At 35.6% G+C, this 23638-nt stretch overlaps 1 protein-coding gene across 1 annotated transcript; it reads left to right on the forward strand.

Annotated features, from left to right (window-relative positions):
• OR8K3 (olfactory receptor family 8 subfamily K member 3 (gene/pseudogene)) lies at nucleotides 16377–21872 on the forward strand. Its single transcript, NM_001005202.2, has 3 exons — nucleotides 16377–16400; nucleotides 17233–17290; nucleotides 19517–21872. Exon 3 carries the CDS (start codon nucleotides 19540–19542, stop codon nucleotides 20476–20478), a length of 939 nt encoding a protein of 312 aa, NP_001005202.1. The 5' UTR covers nucleotides 16377–16400; nucleotides 17233–17290; nucleotides 19517–19539; the 3' UTR covers nucleotides 20479–21872.

The following is a 23638-nucleotide window of genomic DNA, read 5'->3' on the forward strand; positions in this document are numbered from 1 at the left end:
CATTCTTGAGAATTGAAAGTTTATATTTTTTGTTCACGTCTAGATTCTTATTTAGAATTAGTTTTGATCTTAGCGTATTTCTAAAGCAATCCCATGACAAAATATTTTCTTCTGAAATCTCATACGTTAAGCAGTATTCTTATACCTGCAACTCTTCCTCAAACACTTAAACTCACCTAATAAAGAGGTTAGACAATTATCATCTTTAATCTCTTGAGATTCCTATCTTAATTGTACTCGAGGATCTCTTCTTAATTTGTCTGGGGTATGTCTCCAATAGAAGTCTTTGGAAATGTATAATATTTATTTTTGTGTATTCAGTTAAATAACAGCAGATATTATTTAAAAATTCAATTGATGTAGCTTTAAAAATCATGCTATTTACATGTTATTGGTAGATGTATACATGAAACATTTATGAAAAATTAAATCATTATGAAAATAAAGGTGACATATGATGTTAGGGTATCTCAGATAACCACTGTTTCCCAGATAACCCTCTTATGCAACAGAAGTAAGCTTTCCTACTCATTGACTTAATACTGTTAATATGTGTTGAAATTACATTACCATCCATGTCAACAATCATAGATGTGTTTACTTTTAACTCAGGCAGTTATTTTTAATTGTGCTTAATGGTATATACATAATATCATTGGCTGATAATAAGTATGCCATCTAAGAAAATGAACAAGAAACCTACGGTACAAATCAAACTCATGCTTTCCATTTAATGATCAATTTATGAGTAAATACAATATTTCTCACAATTGTATTCACATTATTATCATTTATTTTTGTTTGTTTGTTTCAGAGCAGCTTCCTAGCCTATGCTACTATACAGATTCTGGTTTATTAGGTTTGGTATTGACCCATAAAATTAAATTTTTTAAAATGCCCCACGTTACATGGATTATACTTGGGCAAACACTAGCTTGGAAGGATCTCTCAGACTTGTCTAATTAAATTATTTTCTGCTGTGATTGTTACATTCTCCTTATTTCTTGTTTTTAAAGGGGGGCTTACTTTTAATTGACAAGTAATAACTGTTTATATTTATGGAGTACATAGTGGTGTTCCAAAACATAATGTGTAGTGACCAGGTTATACATATCTATCATCTCAAACATTCATCATTTCTTTGTGTTGGGAATATTCAGTATCCTCCATCTAGCTGTTTGAACCTACATAATATGATATTGTTAACTGTAGTCATTGTACGGTAGTACAGAACAATAGAACACATTCCTCTTCTCAAGCTGTAATTTTGCATCCTTTAACAAATCTCTTCTTACTGTTACATAATGAAACAAGACAGATATTTTCATGGGGAAAAGAAAATACATTTTTCCTAGCAACAGAAACCATCTCTAATGTTACCTGTCACATTAGAGGTTTTAAAAAAGTAATAAAATCTATTATAGATGTGCCTTATCACTCACTGATAATATTATCAGATATTAGGACAAAATAAATGGTATACAGTAGTCCCCCATTTTTTGTGGTTTTACTTTCTGTTGTTTCAGTTACCCTTGGTCAACGAGTCTAAAAATGTTAAATGGAAAATTCCAGGAATAGACAAATTAGAGGTTTTTAAATTGTGCATTTCTGAGTATTGTTATAATGGTTCCATTTTATTAGTGGTTATTGTTAATCTTTTACTGTGTCTAATTTACAAATTAATCTTTATCACAAGTATGTATGTATAGAAAAAAGTATATATCAAGTTTGGTAGTATCTGAAATTTCAGGTATCCACTGGGGTTGTAGATTCTTTGAGGATAAGGAGAGACTGCAGTAATTTTTCCCCCAATAAGTGTGCAATTTGATAAAATTATACTTTGAAAGAATTGGGCTGTACCCCTTCAATATTAACTTTTCATCTACTCTTACTTATTTGTTCAACACAAATTGATTAAACAGCTATTAGACAGCAGGCACTATGCTTTTTGTGGGACTTCAACTATGAAAATGATATCATTTCTCCTTTCACACTACCTAGAGTTAATTGTCTCTTTCAAGATTCAAATTTTGTCTCAGCTATTTAATATTCCGATATTTGGTGAACTAATATGTATAGTGTTCACAAATACACAATTGCTATAGGGGCTATTGTTGACCATGTTACAGGACAAATAGACATTTAATAACTACTTGATTAACTGAATTTACATCTTCCTGCACATCTATTTTGATTTCTGTCAATCAAATCTTTTTAACTTTTCATTAACTATTTTAGCTTTACTAATGTTAACTTAATCATAGGGTGAATATTAATACTTAAGAAATGTATGGTGATAAAACAGTATTAGCTAAACTACAGACTTACTAAATTTCACCAAGTTTTCCACTGAAGTCCTATTTTCTCTTCCAGGATCCAATCCAGGATGCCAGGTTGTGGTTAGTGTCATGTCTCCTTAGTCTATCGGAGTCTGTTCCTGTTCAATATTCTTTTCTTTTCTTCATGACTGTGATACTTTTTTAGTACCTGTCAAGTATTTTATAGGTTATCCTTCAATTAAAACTTGCCTGATGTTTTCTACTGATTAAATTGAGGTTTTTCATAATTGGGAATAGTTCCAGAGAGGCAATCTGTATACCATTTTCCATTTTATCACAGGGTATATGTGTTGATAGGTGATATTATTAGTGATATTAAACTTGATCATTTAAAGTAGTGTGTGCTGGACTTTTTTTACTGTAGAAGTATAATTCTATCTTTGTATTTATTAAATATTTATTGGGGGAAAGCTAATTTAGACTATGTAAATATTTCATGACTACTTTTTACTATTCATCAATGTTTGTTGCTTGTAACAATTATTACTGTATAATTTTGGTAAAATTTACTATTTTCCTTACTCTTTCTATATATTGGAATTATTCTGTAAGGAAGAGTTGTTATTTCTCCCCTATATGTTTATTTATTCAGCCTTCTATTTAAATCAATATGCACTCATAATTATTTTACTCTTTATGTTATTATCTCATACTGACATCATTTATTCTGTTGTTCAAATCGTTCTAGCTTTGCTAATAGAATCACCATCAAATTGGCTCCTGGGCTCTTTGCTCTTTGAACATGTCCCTGTCTTTTAAAATTCTTTTTGTCACTGTTGTTTTGTTTTTACTTCTTACACTCTAGCAGCACAAAGTGCTCCAGGTCATCTTGTATTTTCCTGGACTCAGCTCTAAAATTAACCACTGCTCCAAGGAGTCTTGCTTTTATGAGACTACGGCATTTAGAAAACAGGATCTGAACAATATTATACTATTATATGTGTACTTATATATTTTCCCTTTAATTAGGATTCACACATATTTTGAATACTTTTACATTCTCAACATTTTGCAATTATAACTTTTCAAGTAAAGACTTTATGCTATGGTAAAAAATCTTTGTATTTGGAAACCATAATTCTGAATTTGTATCTAGAAACATCATATAATTACTTTGTGACCATGTGAAAGTTTCTTAAGCTCTCATATCGTCAGTGTCCATGTTTGCAAAGTGACAATACTAGAACCTGCCTCATGTGTTTGTGAATATTCAATTAAATATTATATATGAAGCACTTAAAATTATGTTGAGGATATGATAGGTATTTAATAAATATCTATCCTATGTTGGTAATACGAGTGACTTTATAATAATCTATTCTATTTATACAACCCCATTTATTAAACTATTTTCTCTACCGTTGGGTATCTCCATTAATCATAGTTTTAACATGTTTTTTGTTTTTTGAGATGGAGTCTTGCTATGTCACCCAGGCTGGAGTACAGTGGCGCGATCTCGGCTCACTGCACCCTCTGCCTCCCAGGTTCCAGCAATTCTCCTGCCTCAGCCTCCTGGGTAGCTGGGATTACTGGCGCCAGCCATCACGACTGGCTAATTTTTGTATTTTTAGTAGAGACGGGGTTTCACCAGGTTGGCCAGGATGGTGTCGCTCTCTTGACCTGGTGATCCGCCAGCCTCGGCCTCCCAAAGTGCTGGGATTACAGGCATGAGCCACTACACCCGGCCTATTTTTACAGTTTTTAACTTTTATTTTAGGTTAAGAGGTGTATGTGCAGGTTTGCTGTATAGATAAATTGCATGCCACTGGGGTTGTGTACAGACTGTTTTGTCACCCAGGTAATAAGTATAGCACCTGATTGCTACATTTTCATTCCTCACCCTTCTTCCACCCTCCTAATCTCAAGTATTCCTGTGTCTGTTTTTCCCTTCTTTGTGTCCACATGTACTCAGTGTTTAGCTTCCACTTATAAGTGAGACCATGCAGTATTTGGTTTTCTATTCCTGTAATAATTTACTTTGGATAACGCCCTCTAGCTCCATCCATATTGCTGCAAAGGACATAATATCATTCTTTTTAATGGCTGTGTAGTATTTCATGGTGTGTATGTACCAGATTTTCTTTATGCAGTCTAGCATTGATGGGCATTTAGGTTGATTCCATGTCTTTGCTATTGTACATAGTGGTGCAGTGAATATATATATGCACACATATGCCTTTATGGTAGAAAGATTTATATCCCTTTGGGCATATACTCAATAGTGGGATTGCTGAGTTGAATGGGGAGTATTTAAAGTTTTTTTCAGAAATCGCCAAACTCCTTTCAACAATGGCTGCACTAATTCACTTTGCTACAAGCAGTATATAAGCATTCCTTTTCCTCCACAATCTCACTGAAATTTGTTAATTATTGACTTTTAAATAATAGCCATGCTAACTGGTGTGAGATGGTATCTTCTTGTGGTTTTGATTTGCATTTCTCTAATGATGAGTGATGTTGAGCGTTTTTTATATGTTTGTTAGCCATGTGTATGTCTTCTTTGAAAAGTGCCTGGTCATGTCTTTTGACCACTTTATAATTGGGTTATTTGGTTTTTGCTTCAAAATGTATTTAAGTTCCTTATAGACTCTGGATATTGACCTTTGTTGGTTGCATAGTTTGTAAATATTTTCTCCCATTCTGTTGCAGGTTGTCTGGTTACTCTGCTGAAAGTTTCCTTTGCTGTGCAGAGCTCTTCAGTTTAATTAGGCCACATTTGTCAATTTTTGTTTTTGTTGCTCTTGGCATCTTCATCATAAAATCTCAGTTTGGACGTTGTTGATGTATAGAAATACCACAATTATTATAAATTTGTTTTGTACCCTGAAACTTTGCTGAAGTTGTTTATCAAATCTAGGAGTTTTGGGGTGGAGACTATGGAATATTCTAGGTATAAAATTATATCATCTGCAAACATAGATACTTTGACTTCCTTTCTTCCCATTTGGATCTCTGTCATTTCTTTCTCTGCCCTGATTTCTCTGGCTAGGACTTCCAGTACTAGTTGAATAGGAGTAACGAGAGTGGGCATCCTTGTCCACTTCCAGTTCTCAGGGTGAATGCTTCCAGTTTTTATCCATTCAGTATGATGCTGGTGTGAGATTTTCATCGATGGCTTATTATTCTGAGGTGTGTTCCTTCAATGCTTAGTTTGTTGAGGATTTTTTAACATGAAGCGATGCGAATTTATCAAAAGTCTTTTCTGGATCTATTGAGATGATTATGTTTTTTAAAAAATTTTTGCCTATGTGATGAATCACATTTACTTATTTGCATATGTTGAACCACGTTGCTTTTTAGGGATAAAACCTACTCAATCATGGGAATTAGCACTTTGATGTGCTGCTGGATCCAGTTTGCCAGTATTGAGAATTTTTCGTCTACTTTCATCAAAGCTATTGGCCTAAAATTTGTGTGTGTGTGTATCTCTGCCAGGTTTTGAGATCAGAATAATGCTGATCTCATAAAATAAGCTAGAAAGAAGTTTCTCCTATTTATTTATTTACTTATTTATGGAATGATTTCAGTAGAAATGGTACCAGTTCTTCTTTATATGTCTGGTAGAATTTAGCTGTGAGTTTGTCTGTTCCTGGGCTTTTCCAGATTTTTTATTACTGATTCAATTCCTGAACTCATTACTGGTCTCTTCTGGATTTCAATTTCTTCCTGTGTCAATCTTGAGAGGTTGTATGTTTCCAGGAATTTATCAATTTTTTCTAGGTTTTCTAGTTTGTGTGCATATTAGATGACTTTAATAGTCTCTGAAAGTTTTTTGTATTTCCGTGGGGTCATTGCCAATGTCCACTTTGTCATTTCGATTGTGTTTATTTAAATCTTCTCTCTTTTTTCTGTATTAGTCTATCTGGTGAACTATCTTGTCCATTCTTTTAAATAACTAACTTCTGGATTTGTTGATCTTTTGTATGGCTTTTCACATCTCAATTTAATTCAGTTTAGACCTGATTTTGGTTATTATTTGTCTTCTGTTAGTTTTGAGGTTGGTTTGCTTTTGTTTTTCTAGTTCCTCAAAGTGTGATGTTAGATTGTTAATTTGAGATATTTCTAACTTTTTGATTTGCGTGTTTAGAACAAGAAACTTTCCTCTTAACAGTACTTTAGCTGTTTCCCAGATATTCTGATATGTTGTATCTTTGTTCTCATTAGTTTTAATGAATTTCTTGACTTCTCCCTTAATTTCATTGTTTGCCCAGAATTCAAACAGGAGCAGATTATTTAATTTCCATGTAATTATATGGTTTTGAGTGATCTTCTTAGTATTGATTTCAATTTGTATGGTGCAGTGGTCCAAGAGTATGCCTGCTATAATTTCAGTTTTTTTTTAATTTGCTTAGAGTTGTTTTTATGGCAAATTATGTGGTCAATTTAGGAGTATGTGCCGTATGCAGATGATAAGATATATTCTATTTTGGTGGAGTGGAGCATTCTGTAGATGCCTGTTAGGTCCATTTGGCCAAGTATCTAGTTCATGTTCCAAATCTCTTTATAAGTTTTATGCCTCAGTGATGTCATATTGTTAGTGAAGTGTTGGACTCTCCCACTATTATTGTAGGGTTATCTAATTCTCTTTGTAGGTCTCTAAGAACATGTTTTATGGATCTGGATGCTCCTGCATTGAGTACATATATATTTAGAATAGTTAAGTCTTCTTGTTGAACTGAACCCATATTTAGCACTCCCTAAAGGACCACATAATGCCCTTCTTTGTCTTTTTTTAATGGTTGTTGGTTTACAGTCTTTGGTCTGATATTAGAATAGCAATTTTGTTTTGTCTTGTTTTCCATTTGCTCGGTAGATTTTTCTCCGTCCCTTTACTTTGAACCTATGGGTGTCATTGCACGAGAGATAGGTCTCCTGAGCACAGCATACAGTTGGGTCTTGCTTCTTTATGCAACTTGCCACTCTATGCCTTCTAATTGGGTCTTTAGTTCATTTACATTGGAGGTTAATATTGATAGGTGAAAATTTGATATGTCCCATTATCATGCCGTTATCTGGTTATTAAGCAGATTTGATTGTGTAGTTGCTTTACAATGTCGATCAATGGTCTATGTACTTAAGTGTGTTTATGTGGTGGCCAGTAAGTCTTTCATTTCTGTGTTTAACACTCCCTCAAGGACTTCTTGTAAGGATGGCATGGTGGTAATAAATTATCTTAACATTGGCTCATCTGAGAAGATCTTACTTGTCTTTTGCTTATGAAGCCCAGTTTGGCTGAATATGAAATTCTTGGATGGAGTTTCTTTTAAGAACACTAAAAAGAGGCCCTCAGTCTCTTCTGGCTTGTATAGTTTCTGCTGACAGGTCTGCCTTTAGCCTTATGGGGTTCCCACTGTAGGTGGCCTGCCCCTTCTCTCTAGCTTCCTTTAATATTATTTTCTTCCATGTCAACTTTGGAGAATTGACTATGTGTCTCAAGGATGGTTGTTTTGCATAATATCCAGCATGAGTTCTCTGCAATTCCTGAATTTAAATGTTGACCTCTTTAGTGACATTGGTGATATTTTCTTGGGTAATATCCTCAAATATGTATTCCAAGTTCCTTGCTTTCTCTCCCTCTCTTTCAGGGACACTAATGAGCCATACATTTGCTCACTTTACATAATCCCATATTTCTCAAAGGCTTTGTTCATTCTTCTTTATTATTTATTTTGTTTGATGGAGTTATTTTGGAGATCCATTTTTTGAGCTCTGAGGTTTTTTCCTCAGCTTGGTTGATTCCATGTTAATACTTGTATTATAAAATTATTGAAGTGAGTTTTTCAGCTCTATCAGACACATTTGCTTCTTTCTTAAAATGGCTATTTCCTCTTTACTCTCCTGTATTGTTTTATTATATTCCCTAGATTCCTTGGATTGAGTTTGGGCTTTCTCCAGAATCTCAATGATCTTCATTCCTATCCATACTCTGAATTCCATGAGTGACATTTCAGTTATTTCTTCCTGATTAAGAATCATTGCTGGGAAACTAGCGTGGTCTTTTGGAGGTAAGAAGACACTCTTTTTTTTTTTTTTTAGACAGAATGTCCCTCTGTTACCCAGGCTGGAGTGCAATGGCACAATTTCAGCTCTCTGCAACCTTGCCTCCCAGGTTCATGTGATTCTCCTTCCTCAGCCTTCTGAGTAGCTTGGATCATATGCACCTGCCACCATGCCCAGCTAATTTTTGTAGTTTTAGTAGAGATGAGGTATCGCCATGTTTGCCATGCTGGTCTCAAACTCCTGGCCTCAGGTGATCCACCTGCCTCAGCCTCCCAAAGTGCTAGAATTACAGATGTAAGCCATTGTGCCCAGCCCATTCTGGCTTTTTGAGTTGCCAGAGTTCTTTTCTGGTTCTTTTTCACCTATGTGGCCTGATGTTCCTTTAATCTTTGAAGTTACTGTCCTTTGCACTTTTGTTTTCTTTTTAATCATCTTTGATACCCTGGGATGTTTGATTTTCTTATGAGTTCAGTCAACTGGCTCTGACTCTGGAAGATGAGCTCAGCTCATCGCTCCTAGGCTGTGTGCTGTAATTGTGAGGGTTTGTATTGTGCCACTGACTTTGTTCTCTGACTCCTTTAGGTTAGAAACCTGCTGTGCTCAAGGGGTCAAGGTGTTTCCAGTCCACTGGCCCCAATACTGTGATGAGGGGTGCCAGCCAAAGCACTTTGTAAAGGTGGTGGCTTGTGATCCATGCTCACATATGTTTACCAGCAGCTGCAGTGTAATGGTGTGGTGCCCATGCATTGGAAGGGTAGTGATGGATTCACTGGCATCTACACACACATTTGTGTTGGTGGCATTGGTGGTGGCAATGGTTTAGTGCAGGTTGGGGAGATGGTTCCAGTGTCTGTACACACACTTGCACTGGCTACCTTAGTGATAACATGGCTGGCTGCCAGTGCCTCAGTGGGGGCAGCATGCCACCAGGGGTGGGTAGGATAGTGGGGTATTCTCATGCTGGCAGTATGATGGTGGGGTACGTGTGCACATATGCACTATCAGAGGAGGGGAGACAGATCCGCCCATATGCACATGCTAGTCAAGTTGTGGTGGGACTTCCATGTGGGGGGCGGGTGTTAGCAAAGCAGCAGGGGATGGTTGTGTATGGGCTGCTCATGTTGGCTTGGTCCAGTCTGCTAGACCTCTTCATTAGTTATGTGTGGCCTACCAGCAGAGCAGCTATGATGAGGGCCCCCAGAAAGCACTCTGATTGGATATTGGAGGCTGTGCTACAAGTAGGGACAGCCAGGCTGGAGCCACAGGAAAAGCTGGGAAACAGGGGAGCACTCAGATGAGACTGTCCCCATCACACAGACAAGATCACCCTGTTCTGTCCAGGTCTGTAAGTCTCCTAAAGGCTGAAGCCTCCTAGAGGAGCTTGGTGATCCTTGGGGAATGGGTATCCCTGGCCATGCTCCACTGAAGCTGTTCCTGCACCAAACCCTCTGTGCTCTGTAAAATCTGGAGTCCTGCCCCCATTACTTTTCTAAGCAGCAATTCCTGCCAGCTCAAGTGTCCATGGGGGATCATTGGTTCTCCTGCAACTAGGATTCTGGAGGCCCATGGATAAAGCAGGTTATTCTTTGTCTGTTTGACTCACCCATTCGCCAGGAGTGAGTGGGGTCCAGGAGTGGGTCCCAGTGCTCGGCAGGCCTGTGTAGGGTTCTCGACTTTCTACCCCTTTAGCCCAGTGTCTGCACTTTCTCTTTGTCTACTTTCAATGCCTTCTCTCTGAAGATCCATTCAGAGTGTGCCAGTCTTCCCAATGTCTCAGGAACTGGGAAATGTTATTTCTGGCTGTGTCCACTCGACCATCTAGGCTCCCCCTCTATATTGATATTTTAAATACCCTGTTTACCTCTTTTGCTACCAAAAAGTTGACTATTATATGTCTCTGTGAGAATCTTTTGTGTTTATCAAATTTGTTTGGTTTAGTCTCCTATATCTGCATATCACTGATATGTCTCTAATTGCAGGAGTTTTTGAAATATTTTTATTCTTTTCTCCTTAACTTCTGTTGCTACTCCAACTGACTCTATTGATAAACATAATAGTAGTACTGCAAGTGTCCAAGGATGTCTTGATTTTTTGGTGACCTTTCTTCTATTTTATTTAGAATGGATATTGTCTATTTACCTCTTTTTAAGTTGGTTGATTCTTCACCCTGCCTCTCAATCTTCTGTTGCATCTAACAAGTAAATTTTTCATTTCAGTTATTTTGTTTCTTAACTCCAGATTTTCTATTTGATTCTTTCAGAAAAAAAAAAATGCTTTTTTGATTTTCTCCTTTGGTAAGTCAATCATTTTCTACAGTACTTTTTTTTCTGAAAATTCTAACGCGTAGAACTGTCAAAAAACAAACTTTTGTTCTTTATAAATTGTCCACTCTTAGGTATTCTGTTATAGAAGCAAAAATGGACTCAAACAAATGCTCAGGCAGCTTACAGTTCTGCCAAAGGCTTCACTTTCTCCTTTTGCAGAGCCTCAAGTCAGGCATGGTTTCAGCCTCTAGGTTTGACACCTGAATATCTGTATTTTATGAACCTCTACCAATTGCATATTATACACTGAACCATGAGGATAAATTTTCTTAATATATTACTTCCATACTCAACTCTCAAATCTATTTTTAATGGATTCAAATTCTTTATTGATATTCATTTTTTGTGGATTTATTTTCTCAAGTACTGTAAACATTTTTCCAATTCTTTGAAATACTAGTTATGGTTTCTTTGAAATATGAGTCGGCTAAATCCAACATCTATGTCCAGTCACAGGCGGTGCTTATAGACTACCTATCAATCATATCCAAGTATAGGTCATTATTTCCTCTTTCTGTTTTTAATGACTCAGATTTGTACTGAGAACTGGAAATTTTGTAATATATTTTAGCACCTCCAAAATTTGATTTTATTTATTTTTTTCCCTCTATGATTCTCTGTTGCTGTGTGTGTTTTTGTTTCTTTGTTATAAAATACCTTGTTTAGAATTAATATGCAGAATTTGGCCACTAATTTATCTGCTCAGCATTTCCTTTGCATTATTAACTTTTAGCTTGACTTTCTAAGAGTTACCTCTTTGTCTTCTAGGTTAGTGGTCAAAGTTGTTCTAAAAATTTTTATTTCATAAGGCTTGCACCCTCTGCTGCTGACATGTGCCTGATTTGGGGAGCACATTAAACTGTATTAGTGTTCAAGTATACCCCAGCATTTACTTTCCTCTTGAGTACTCTCAAGTCTCCATTATGTGGGTATTTAGGTTGTCAGACAGCTGGTGATGTGTAGGATATTGGAGTTTTTATCAAATCCCTCAGTTGGCATCTCCTTTCTAGGAACTTTAAATTTCAGGCTAGTCCTCCCTGCTGCTACTTACCCCAACTATAATCATAACCTGAGGTTAAAAGAGTTGCGTTCACTACTGTGCATGGATTTTCTACCATTTACTCCAAATCTAATTACCCCCTACCCCTGCCTTTAACGTGGAAGTTGCTGGTTTTTGTGGATAGGCTTGCTCTGGACAAAAAATAAACAAGGTAAAATTATCAGACATGTATCATAGTTATATAATTATATATGATATAATGCAGGTATATAATGCAGAAAGAAACACAAATGTTACAATATTGATATATCACAAATAAAAAGTGACTTAAATACAGCAATGAAATTATAACAATAACATATATGCATGGTAAATACACACACATACACAAATTGTATGTGTTCACAGGATGACATTAGTAATATAGGACACACATATTAATAAAACATCAAGTTTTTGTCAAGACAGAAAAGAAAAATTTAGTTGAGGGTTAAACAGAATAAAAAAATGAAATGCTGCAATATGTAATAAAGAAAAAAACCAAAATCTAAATAATTTGTAAACAGAGACCTGATGGTAAGTCACAATAAAATAAATATTAAGATAATTTATTAATACTAATAAATTTACTGTGTTCTAAGTACTATTTTTATTTTTTATTTTTATAGGTACATAGTAGGGGTAATTATATCCATTTTTTATTTGAAGAATAAACAAAATTAAAATTAAATAATTTTATCCCTGATGAAATAAAAAGGAACAACATAAATGAGTAAAAAAGCAACACCTCTCCTTTGTGCATTATTTTATTCCATGTAAAATTCTTAAGTAAAGTAATAGGACAACGTTGAAAACCATCTCCACTCTGTCACCTTTTTGAGGAAACCACTGTGTATATACCACCTGCCGTGTATATACAATATTTTTTCTGTGAGCCTGCACTATAGATACAATATTTTAATCAAGAGTCCTCTGTGGTACAAATGCAAATTTAAGCAAGTGTAAAAAATAGGTAACAAACAAGTAAATTTAAAAAAACACTTCTTGGCCTGCTATTAGGCCTTAGAAACTGAAGTCTTGACTATCTTGACACATCATAAACTGCACGATTTCTGACTCACTCAGCCATAAAGTTGGACATACACAGTCCATTTTCCCTTCTTCATAATTTTACAAATAGATTTGTTCTCACTGCAGCTCTTAGCAACCTTAGCATAGGATTTTTTTTTTCTTTCATCTTTACACTGAAAGAAAGGAAGCACTTTATGCCTTCTCTTTGACATATCTGAATTGCCAGCATCATAACTCTTGCAGTATGGGACATCATTAAGTAAAATAACGGTTATGTAACACAGTTACTGCAATACTGTGACAGTCATCTGATAACCAAGATGGCTACTAAGTGGAACAGACAAGGAAAATATACACTGTGGATAACTGGACAAAAAATGATTCACGCCCTAGGTAAGATAGAGTGAAAAAGTGTGAGAATTTATTGTGCTATTTTGAATGATATGTAATTTACAACTTATGAGTTGTTTTCTGGAAATTCTCTTTAACATTTTTGGAACACAGTTGAATGCAGGTAACTGAAACCACAAAAAGCAAAAAATAGGTATCCAAGTGACTGCTGTATATGGTGTTCAAGACTGAACAGGCCCTGAGGCACAAGTAAGTTACATGAAGAAATAGCCTGATGCACATGGTCCCCGCTCCTCCTACACTATCTTCTGTCTCGCAGTCTCCACCCATGGCCTCATAGAGAGTGCCTTATGGTCAGATGACAGAGGAAGAAAAGACTCCAGTCCCATTTAAAGATAGTTCTGCATCATATGCAGACACCACCCTAAAAGTGGGCAACTGTAGCACTACAAGCCTTTTCTGGGACATTCCTGATGGACAGAAGTAAAGGGAAATACTCTCACTGTGCACAACTTTGAGTGGTGCACCTGGTGATGCACTTTGCTTAGAAAGTGATCATGAGAGAACAGACATGCGATAATTATGATTACATATGGATTCAGGGGCTGTGGCAAGTGGTGTGGCTAGATAGTAAAAAACGTGGAGAGGACATGATTGAAAAATTAATGACAAAGAAATTTAGGGAAGAAGTATGACCATAACTCTCTGAATGAGCAAAAAACGTGAAGATATTTGTGTCCCATGTGAATGCTCACCAAATGGTGACCTCAGCAGAGGAGGATTGTAATATTCAAGTTAATAGTATGACACATTCTGTGGATACTAGCCAGCCTCTTTCTTCAGGCACCCTGTCATCACCCAATGGGCTCACAAAGAAAGTGGACATGGTGGCAGGGACATAGGTTATGTGTGGTCTCACAGCAACATGGACTTCCACTCATGAGGGCCAACCTGGCCATAGTCACTGCTGAGTGTCCAATCTTCCAGCAGCAGTGAACAACACAGAGCCACTAATATGGCACCATTACCCAATGGGAGTAGCCAGCTGCCTGGCAGGAGTTTGGTTACATTGCACTGTTTCCAACATTTAAGAGCAGCATTTTGTTCTTAGTGCAATATATACTTACTCTGGATACAGATTTTCCTTCTCTGCAAGCAATTCTGCCAAAACTACCTTCCAAGTTATAGAATGCCTTATGTACCATCATGATATTCCACATGGCATTACATATATCAAGAAACTCACTTCACAGATAAAGAAGTGCAGCAATGTGTCCATGATCATGGAATTCACTAGTCATACTCACCATGCTGCCCAACATCCCAAAGAAACTGGCTTTGAAATTTTAATTACAATTCAGCTAGATGGCAATAATTTGAATAGCTGGGGAAAAGTTTGCAAGAAAGCTATATATGCTTTGAATTAGTCTCCAGTATATTGTGCTGTTTTTTTGCCATAGACTGGATCTAGTAGCCTAGGAATGAAGAGATGGAAGTATGAGTGACACCACTCACTATTTTTTTTAATTTTTTAATTTTTTTATTATCCTTTAAGTTTTAGGGTACATGTGCGCAATGTGCAGGTTAGTTACATATGTATACATGTGCCATGTTGGTGTGTTGCACCCATTAACTCGTCATTTAACATTCAAGACACCACTCACTATTAACCCTAGTGACCCACTGTCAAAATTTCTGCTTCCTGCTCCATTGACTTTAAGCTTTACTGACCTACAGGTCTTAGTCACAGAGGAATGAATGCTTCCACCTAGAGAAATAGCAATAATTCTATTGAATTGGAAGTTAAGACTCTTACCCAGCCATTTTGAGCTCCTCATGCAACTGAATCAATAGACAAAACAGGAAGTTATCACACTTGATCCTGACTTTCCAGGGGAAATTGGGCTATTACTTCACAATACAAGGAAGAATAAGCCTGGAATATGGGACATTCCTTAGGACATCTTTTATTAATAAGAAAAACTGTAATAATAATATACGGAAAACTGTAATAGCCCAAACTAGCCAGAACTACTAATGGCCCACATTCTTCAGGAATAAAGGTTTGGGCCACTTCACAAGGAAAAAAGAACCATGGCCAACTAAGGTGCTTGCTAAAGACAAAAGGAATAGAGTATGGAAAGAAGAAGAAGACGGTTATAAATACCAGCTATAATCATGTGGCCAGTTCAGAAATGAGGACTGTAATTGTAATGAGAATTCCATCCTAATTTTATTATAAATATGTCTGTGTATTTATTAAGATGCTTTATTCCATTTTTTATTACCTTATTATATAAATATGATATATGGACTTTACATCAATATTTAAATATTGTTACTTTTACACTGTAGAATTTTACTCTGAGAAAATCAGGAGAAGAGTCAGTATCACTCAAAGAATATATGTCCTGATTGGAATAAAGGATTAGTGAGTTTTTATTTATATGCCGGATAGTTGTGTCATGTAAAGCAAAACTATGACCTTGTTATTGTCTATGTTTAGAGAGACTAAGTATGGTTTAAGTACATGCTTATGTTTGCCAAGCTGACAAGGGGTGGAGTAATGACGATTAAAGTGTTGACTTAACTAGGCTATATGATGCCCAGATAGCTGGCAAACATTATTTCTGGGTGTGCCTGTGAGGATACTCCTGGAAGAGACTACGATTGTTAGACAGAGTAACTATCATCCTCACCAATATAGGTGGGTATCAGTGCAATCAATTGAGGCCTTGAATAAAACAAAAAGACAGAGGAAGGGTGAGTTCACTCCCTGCTTAAGCTAGGACATCCTTCGCTTCCTGCCATCAGACATTGACATCCCAGATTCCAGAGCCTTCGAATTCAGACTATGATGTACACCCTTGGCTCCCCTGGCTCCCAATATTTCAAGTTTGAACTGAATCTATACCACCAGCTTTCTTGAAGTTTGCAGACAGCAAATCACAGGAATCCTCAGCCTACATAATTGCATAAAACAATTCATAATAAATCTCTATTATCTATCTATCTATCTATCTATCTATCTATCTATCTATCATCTATCTATCTATCTATCATCTCTCATCTAACTATCTCTTCTTAGTACTGTTTTTCTGGAGAACTCTGATACACTAGTGAATACAAACTGTCTTCTACAACTAATGGACAGCCTCAAACATTTTGTTATGCTCTCAAATGCTTTAGGAATTATCAATAAATTGCCTGCCATCTCCTCAGGGAGAGTCTCAAAAGATTAAAAAATGCATAAATTGTTCTCACTGTGCCATGTGAGAGACACATGGAGGAGTCAAGACAGAGGCTTCCTTACAGGTAAAAAAAAAAAAAGTAAGAATGTTTCTTGTGGTGTCATATGTTACAGATATCTATAATGCTTCAGTGACATTGGAAAACTGCCACTTTAATTTGATGACATAACCATAGTAAAGTGTGACAATTTCTGATTCATTTCTCCGGGATTTCTGTTACTCAATAATGCCTAAGCAGAAATAACGGTGCTCCATTTTTCATATGCTTTTTAAGTATTTTACATGGTTTCACAGGCTGAATGCTATAAGCATCTTTGAAACATTATCATGATATTGTTTCTAAAGTATTCATTTTACATATTTTTCTCTAATTGAGGCCAAAACTTGGAGAAAATAAAGCACAATGACAAGGAGATAAATATATTTTTAATGAAAGAATGGAGAAACTGCAACTATTTGGTCAGTCATGTTCATGTCCTTCCAAATACTTGTTATTTAGATGCTCTAGGCTCTCAGACCCCTTAACAATAATTTAACACTGAATGATTATTCAAATAAATGTGTAGATATGATTGTTTTCTCACTGCTTGGTGAGTCAAAAAGGGGGTTGCTACCTTACATTCGAATGTGAAAAGCATTATTAAAAATTATGAGGCTTTTTGGGTAATCATAGGCACAGAAAAAAAAAACATTTTAAAATAGAAGAAAATAAAATTAGGAGACTGTTAAGTACCCAGTTTTAGGGAACAATACAATTTTCAGAAAGTACTTCAATTTCCACTAAGAGTTGACAAAAGCAGATATTATTTTCTCAAAGATTGTAGCTTTAAAAAATGCAATTGATATTCAACAAAGACAGCAAAATATGAAAAAAAGCAATCTGGTTCTTTCCACAGAACTCCAAAGATGGTGAAAGGAACCTCATTTATATTTCCTTACCTAACAAGAAAACAGGTACTTATCCATGATATTATTTGCCTTTCTAAATTGCCAAACTGTACAAAACAAGCAAACAAAATACAGGATTTATGCTGCTCATCATCTTATTTACTAAAGATATTTATCTAACTTTTCCATCTACTGCCACACATTACCATATATCTAATATGAGAAAGGTGTGTTCATTGAGTCAGGGTAGGATAGGAGTAGGTCATAATTTTATTTAAAAAATTAAGTTCAAATAATATGTAATCATCTTTATATTTAATGTAACACAATTGCTTGTCTTTATTTTTTCATAGCTCACTCTGAGATTGCTGTCACTATAATTTTCATTGTAAAAACTATTTTCTTTCTTTTCTTTTTTCAAAAAACATTGGGGCTTACGATTTTTTTTAACTAATAATGATTATCTTAGGTTATCATGCCCTCCATCTCCTGCTCTACTATATTTTAAATCTGTGGGTTATTGGGGGATATTTAGATATATATTTATTCGATTATACATATGTTAATTTGTATTATGTGCTATACCATATTTCCTAGTTTCTGTGGCTTGCATGTTCAGAAAAGTTTTAAATCACAGCCAGAAATCCACGTATATCTCATGTTTAGTGTATTCATTTTGTCTCTATGTTATTGTGTAACAAGGTGACTTTTAATCATTTCTTTAATCTACAGTATCCTTTTACCCAAAAAGTAGCTTTTACTAATTTTCATTATACAAAACCAATATGAAGGACCACATTTTCTCCCAATTTGTTCAGATTTCCTCAAACTCCCCTAAGATTTTGTATGATAAAACAAACTTAACGTTCACATTCAAGTTAGCATTTCTCAATTATATTGAGAATAAAACTATGGGAAGATTAATGTTTTAATAAAGTTTATATAAAAATAATTTATTTAAAATGTTATTAAATTCGTTGTGAAAAATAGATAAGTAATCCAAAACAATAGCATACCAATTACCCAAGTTTAGTCATGAATTGGGGGAGGGGAGAAGAACTGCCCTAAGTTGCAAGTATTACATCCTACTTGACCTGTGACTCCCCTAGGCATCATTATGGTCCTAACAAAGAAGTTAATTCATAGTCAGAATAATGTATGTGTACACATGTAAAAAAAACCTCTTTCAAGTAAGGCATTGTCACAATTAAAACAAATAACAAGAAGAAGAAAACTCACAATGTACTTGATGTTTTAGAACTACTTCTAGGCAGCAAAGACACATTGAATCACTTAATCTTCAGTCATCCTTCCCAACAATTCTGCAATGACATGTTGGTTCTGGATATTAGAACAAACAGTTTTAGATAACTTACACTATTTGCCTAAAATAACCTTTCAAATATGACATAAATTAAGATATAGTGTAGAATATATCTATATCCATATATTTCCTGATATTTTTTGCTTTGTAAATATAAATAATTGCCACTGTCATCTGTTATGCTGCTCTTACTCATATGCCTAATATCTGTCAACTCTATTAAAGTCTCAGCTGTACCACCCGAAGAGATAAGGGTATTCACAGGATGATGTTTTGAAGCAGGTGGTTTTATGCATTTTTGGAATCTGTGACAGAAATTTTTTATATAACTAAAATTGTATTATGTCACAATTTTAATCTATAAATATGACCAAGCTCTAAAAACATAGTACAATAATTGTTCATATATCAGATATCCACGGTATTAACAATGTTTTTAACTTTAAAATTTTTCTTTATATATCTATACAGACATGAATATCTGTATCTCTTTCTCTCTCTCTCATATGATTCTATCTGTTCATCCATAATCTATCTATCTACCCATTAACTATCTATCTATCATCTGTCTATTCATGTATCTCATCAGAGTTTCTCAACCTTAGCACTATTGATATTTGGGGTTGGGTATTGCGATGGGCTGAGTATTGATTATAGTGGAATGTTTAGCAGCTTACTGGCTTCTAACCTTTAGATGCAACAGTGGCCCACCTCCAAATTGTGATAAATAAAATGTCTCTAGACATTAGAAAATGTTTTTGGGTGAGTAAAATCAAAAGCAACTGAAAACTGCTGATCTGCCTTATCTCTTTCTTAAATTATTTAAACATGTTTTTATTTGTGAGAGGTATGTTTTCAAATGTCGCAAATTGTGAAATTTAGGTATATCTTCTGTTAGCTTTGCATACTAAAAAATTTCTCAGGTGATGATAGAGGAAAGCTATTGACAATGCCGATGTCTCTATCAGAATAGGTTTTCTGATGAACCTGGATGGAACAACACAATCTAACAACGGTGAATGAATTCATTCTTACGGGAATCACAGATATCGCTGAGCTGCAGGCACCATTATTTGCATTGTTCCTCATGATCTATGTGATCTCAGTGATGGGCAATTTGGGCATGATTGTCCTCACCAAGTTGGACTCCAGGTTGCAAACCCCTATGTACTTTTTTCTCAGACATCTGGCTTTCATGGATCTTGGTTATTCAACAACTGTGGGACCCAAAATGTTAGTAAATTTTGTTGTGGATAAGAATATAATTTCTTATTATTTTTGTGCAACACAGCTAGCTTTCTTTCTTGTGTTCATTGGTAGTGAACTTTTTATTCTCTCAGCCATGTCCTACGACCTCTATGTGGCCATCTGTAACCCTCTGCTATACACAGTAATCATGTCACGAAGGGTATGTCAGGTGCTGGTAGCAATCCCTTACCTCTATTGCACATTCATTTCTCTTCTAGTCACCATAAAGATTTTTACTTTATCCTTCTGTGGCTACAACGTCATTAGTCATTTCTACTGTGACAGTCTCCCTTTGTTACCTTTGCTTTGTTCAAATACACATGAAATTGAATTGATAATTCTGATCTTTGCAGCTATTGATTTGATTTCATCTCTTCTGATAGTTCTTTTATCTTACCTGCTCATCCTTGTAGCCATTCTCAGGATGAATTCTGCTGGCAGACAAAAGGCTTTTTCTACCTGTGGAGCCCACCTGACAGTGGTCATAGTGTTCTATGGGACTTTGCTTTTCATGTACGTGCAGCCCAAGTCCAGTCATTCCTTTGACACTGATAAAGTGGCTTCCATATTTTACACCCTGGTTATCCCCATGTTGAATCCCTTGATCTATAGTTTACGAAACAAAGATGTAAAATATGCCCTACGAAGGACATGGAATAACTTATGTAATATTTTTGTTTAAATTTTGTACAATATGATTCCTATAAATTAGGTTATGGGCATGAATTTTTGCTCTGCATACTTCCAGAAGACATAACAAGCATAACTGATTCAACATATATTTACATATGTCTCATACATGATAGGCTCTTCTAATTGCTATACATAGATTAATAAACAAAATAGTAGAAATCTTTGCCTTCCTTGATGGATAGATGAATTGTATTCACAATAAGTCCATTTTATATAACAGTAGAATGTGCACGATGGATATAGACAAAGAAAAAAGGGAGACAAGGAAAGCTAGTATGCTGGGTGGCAGTAGGAAACAGTGGTCATTACAGAAGGGAGTTACGAGGATTCCAGTGTTTTTTATCTGCTACTGGAATAAAATTTACAGTGTGTGTGCTTCTGTATGTTTCTGTTTGTGTGTTTTTGTGTATATAAGCATTTTCCTTCTGTTTTAGCCTTCATACTTTTTGCTTGTATATTCTGACATTGCATTTAATACTGGTTGTTTAGATGATATGTGATGATTTTAAGTCTTACAGATGTGCTCGAATAATTACTATTCCGAATATTAGGATCCTACTATTTCCTTATCAATGTTTTTATTTCCACATAGAAGTCTGTTAACCGAACATACTTTGTAGCTCAATAATCGGTAAATTCTGATTAGCACCTGATTTTGTTTCAGTTAGCCCATTCTGTTTACATGAGTAGATATATCAATTATGCTTAAGTTTAGAAGACATCCATAGAAATTCTCAGGTTTATTCTTTCTCTCTAGTTGTTCTTGCTTAATAACTGCCTTTTTCACAGATTTTCCCGTTATTTATCTAAAAAAAAGTAATAAACTGTGGTTAAAATTTGTGTTCCAGTTGTTTTTACATCTTTGAGGAGGGGGACCATTCTATGATGAATTAACTTTGTAGTCTCTCACTGAGTTGACAATCCATAATTTTTATCAATATGCACTATATCGAATGCACTATATTTTCATTTACTTCACTGTTTGATTGCATCAGTTGATTTTTCTACTTGTACAAAGCAAATAAAAGTAATAAAATGCACTACACCATACTGTATCTATCTGCTGGCTATTACAGATGTCCTTTGACAGTTACAGACCTTCACCATGCAAGTGAGGTCTGATCTGTATGCAATGATATCGTTATCTTGCCTTTTAAACATGGTTGCTTTCCTTAACTCCATATGTTTTCTTATGTATTTTGATTTCCTTTATTCTTTTTAATAATCCTAAGAATTTATTGAAAGTATCAGAGTCTACAATATTTTCTTGGTTCACCATCATAAAATAAAATCCCATGTGCAGCCAAAGAAACACTAATGAATATATCTCATTGGAATAAATTAAACATTGCATAGCACATTGTCATGTGAGGATAAATATTACCATATTGTTGCTGTACTGAAAATGAATCTTTAAGATGGTCATAGAAATTACCAGGTAGTAATAATATCTCACACTTACTATTATATTATAGAGATTCTACATGTCTCAATTAATTTAGCCATCACAACAGCTCTTTGAGGTAGGTTCTATTAAAAGTTCCATTTTTAGGATGATAAAGTAGAGCCTAGATACAGTAAGTAAGTTGTCAGAGATCACCAAGGTAATGAGTATTAGAATCAGGTTTTGTTGTATTTTTGCTCGTTCGTTTTAACAGATAGAATCTCCCTTTGTTGGCCAGGTTGGAGTGAAGTGGCATAACCATAGCTCATTGCAGCCTCAAATTCCTGAGCTCGAGGAATCCTCTCACCTCAGCCTCCTAAATAGCTGGGACTACAGCCATGAGCCACCAATGCCCGGCCTATTTTTGTATTTTTCATGGAGACAGGGTTTTGCCATGTTGCCCAGGCTGGTATCAAACTCCTGAGCTCCAAGTGATCCACCAACCTCAGCCTCCCAAAGTGCTGGGACTTACAGGCATGAGCCACAATGCCTGGCTCTATATTCTCTTTCTCTTTCTCTTTCTTTCTCTGTCTCTGTCTCTGTCTGTCTGTCTCTCTCTCTCTCTCTCATTTTTTTAAGACAGGGTCTGGCTCTGTTGCCCAGGCTGGAGTGCAGTGGCGTGATTTCAGCTCACTGAAACCTCCGCCTCCTGGGTTCAAGCAATTCTTGCGCCTCAGCCTCCCAAGTATCTGAGACTACAGGCATGTGCCACCATGCCCAGATAATTTTGTATTTTTAGAAGAGGCGGGGTTTTGCCACATTAGCCAGCCTGGGCTTGAACTCCCTAGCCTCAAGTGATCGGCCTGCCTCAGCCTCCCAAAGTGCTGGGATTAAGGGCATGAGCCACTGCGTCCAGCCCTATTTTGTCTCTTAATGTCATTTGTATGCTTCACTGATGTTACCCTGAGATGTGACAGAGCAAAACCTCACTTTGGCAGATTTGGTATTAGAAGAGAAAAAGAGCAGAGGGGTCAATTACAGGAAGAATACATGCTGGGGATCCATTGTACCACATGGTGATTGTAGTTTATAATACTGAACTTTTTACTTGAAATTTGATGGAAGAACAGATTCCAAATGTCTTCACCACACATACACACACATACACACATAAACACATGCACACACATATGCAGGGTGAACTATAGGTGGTAACAGATGTGCTAATTAATGTTATTTTAGTAATCCTTAAACAACATAGTCATATATAAAATTATCACACTGTGCACCTTGAAAATATATTTTTGTCAATGAAATATTTTCAAATAAGAAAATAAATGAAAGCAGTGAACTATGTGACACATAAAATTAATTTACAAAATACATAATCAAAAAGAAAATTGACTCAGAAATGTAAACTTATCAGTCCATTTTGACATTTTGAAAGAGTGTTTATGCTCAAGTAGAAAGCCATCAAAAAGTAGAGTTTGAGTAGAGTTGTAATAAATTGCAGAGGATGAGGATAGCAGAAATTAGCATTAAGTAGTCAGTAATATGCTGAAGACAAATAAATAATCAGGCAGATTTTCTTTATTTCTATCCTAATAAGTTCAACCATCTTTGAGAAAGAAAGATTGAGGTTGTTTTCTTAATAGGGGAAGGGACCCTCCTAGGAAAAGATGAGGAAGGACGATGACAATTTGGCAAATCCTCAGACTCCCTGGACACAGAGTAAATTACTATTGAGCTGAACAGGCATGCCACA

The sequence above is a fragment of the Homo sapiens genome, chromosome 11 (assembly GCF_000001405.40).
Source record: "Homo sapiens chromosome 11, GRCh38.p14 Primary Assembly".
NCBI lineage: Eukaryota > Metazoa > Chordata > Mammalia > Primates > Hominidae > Homo > Homo sapiens.

Excerpts from the sequence above, each read along its gene's own strand:
- OR8K3 (NM_001005202.2), top strand. The coding sequence starts at position 19,540 with ATGGAACAACACAATCTAACAACGGTGAATGAATTCATTCTTACGGGA.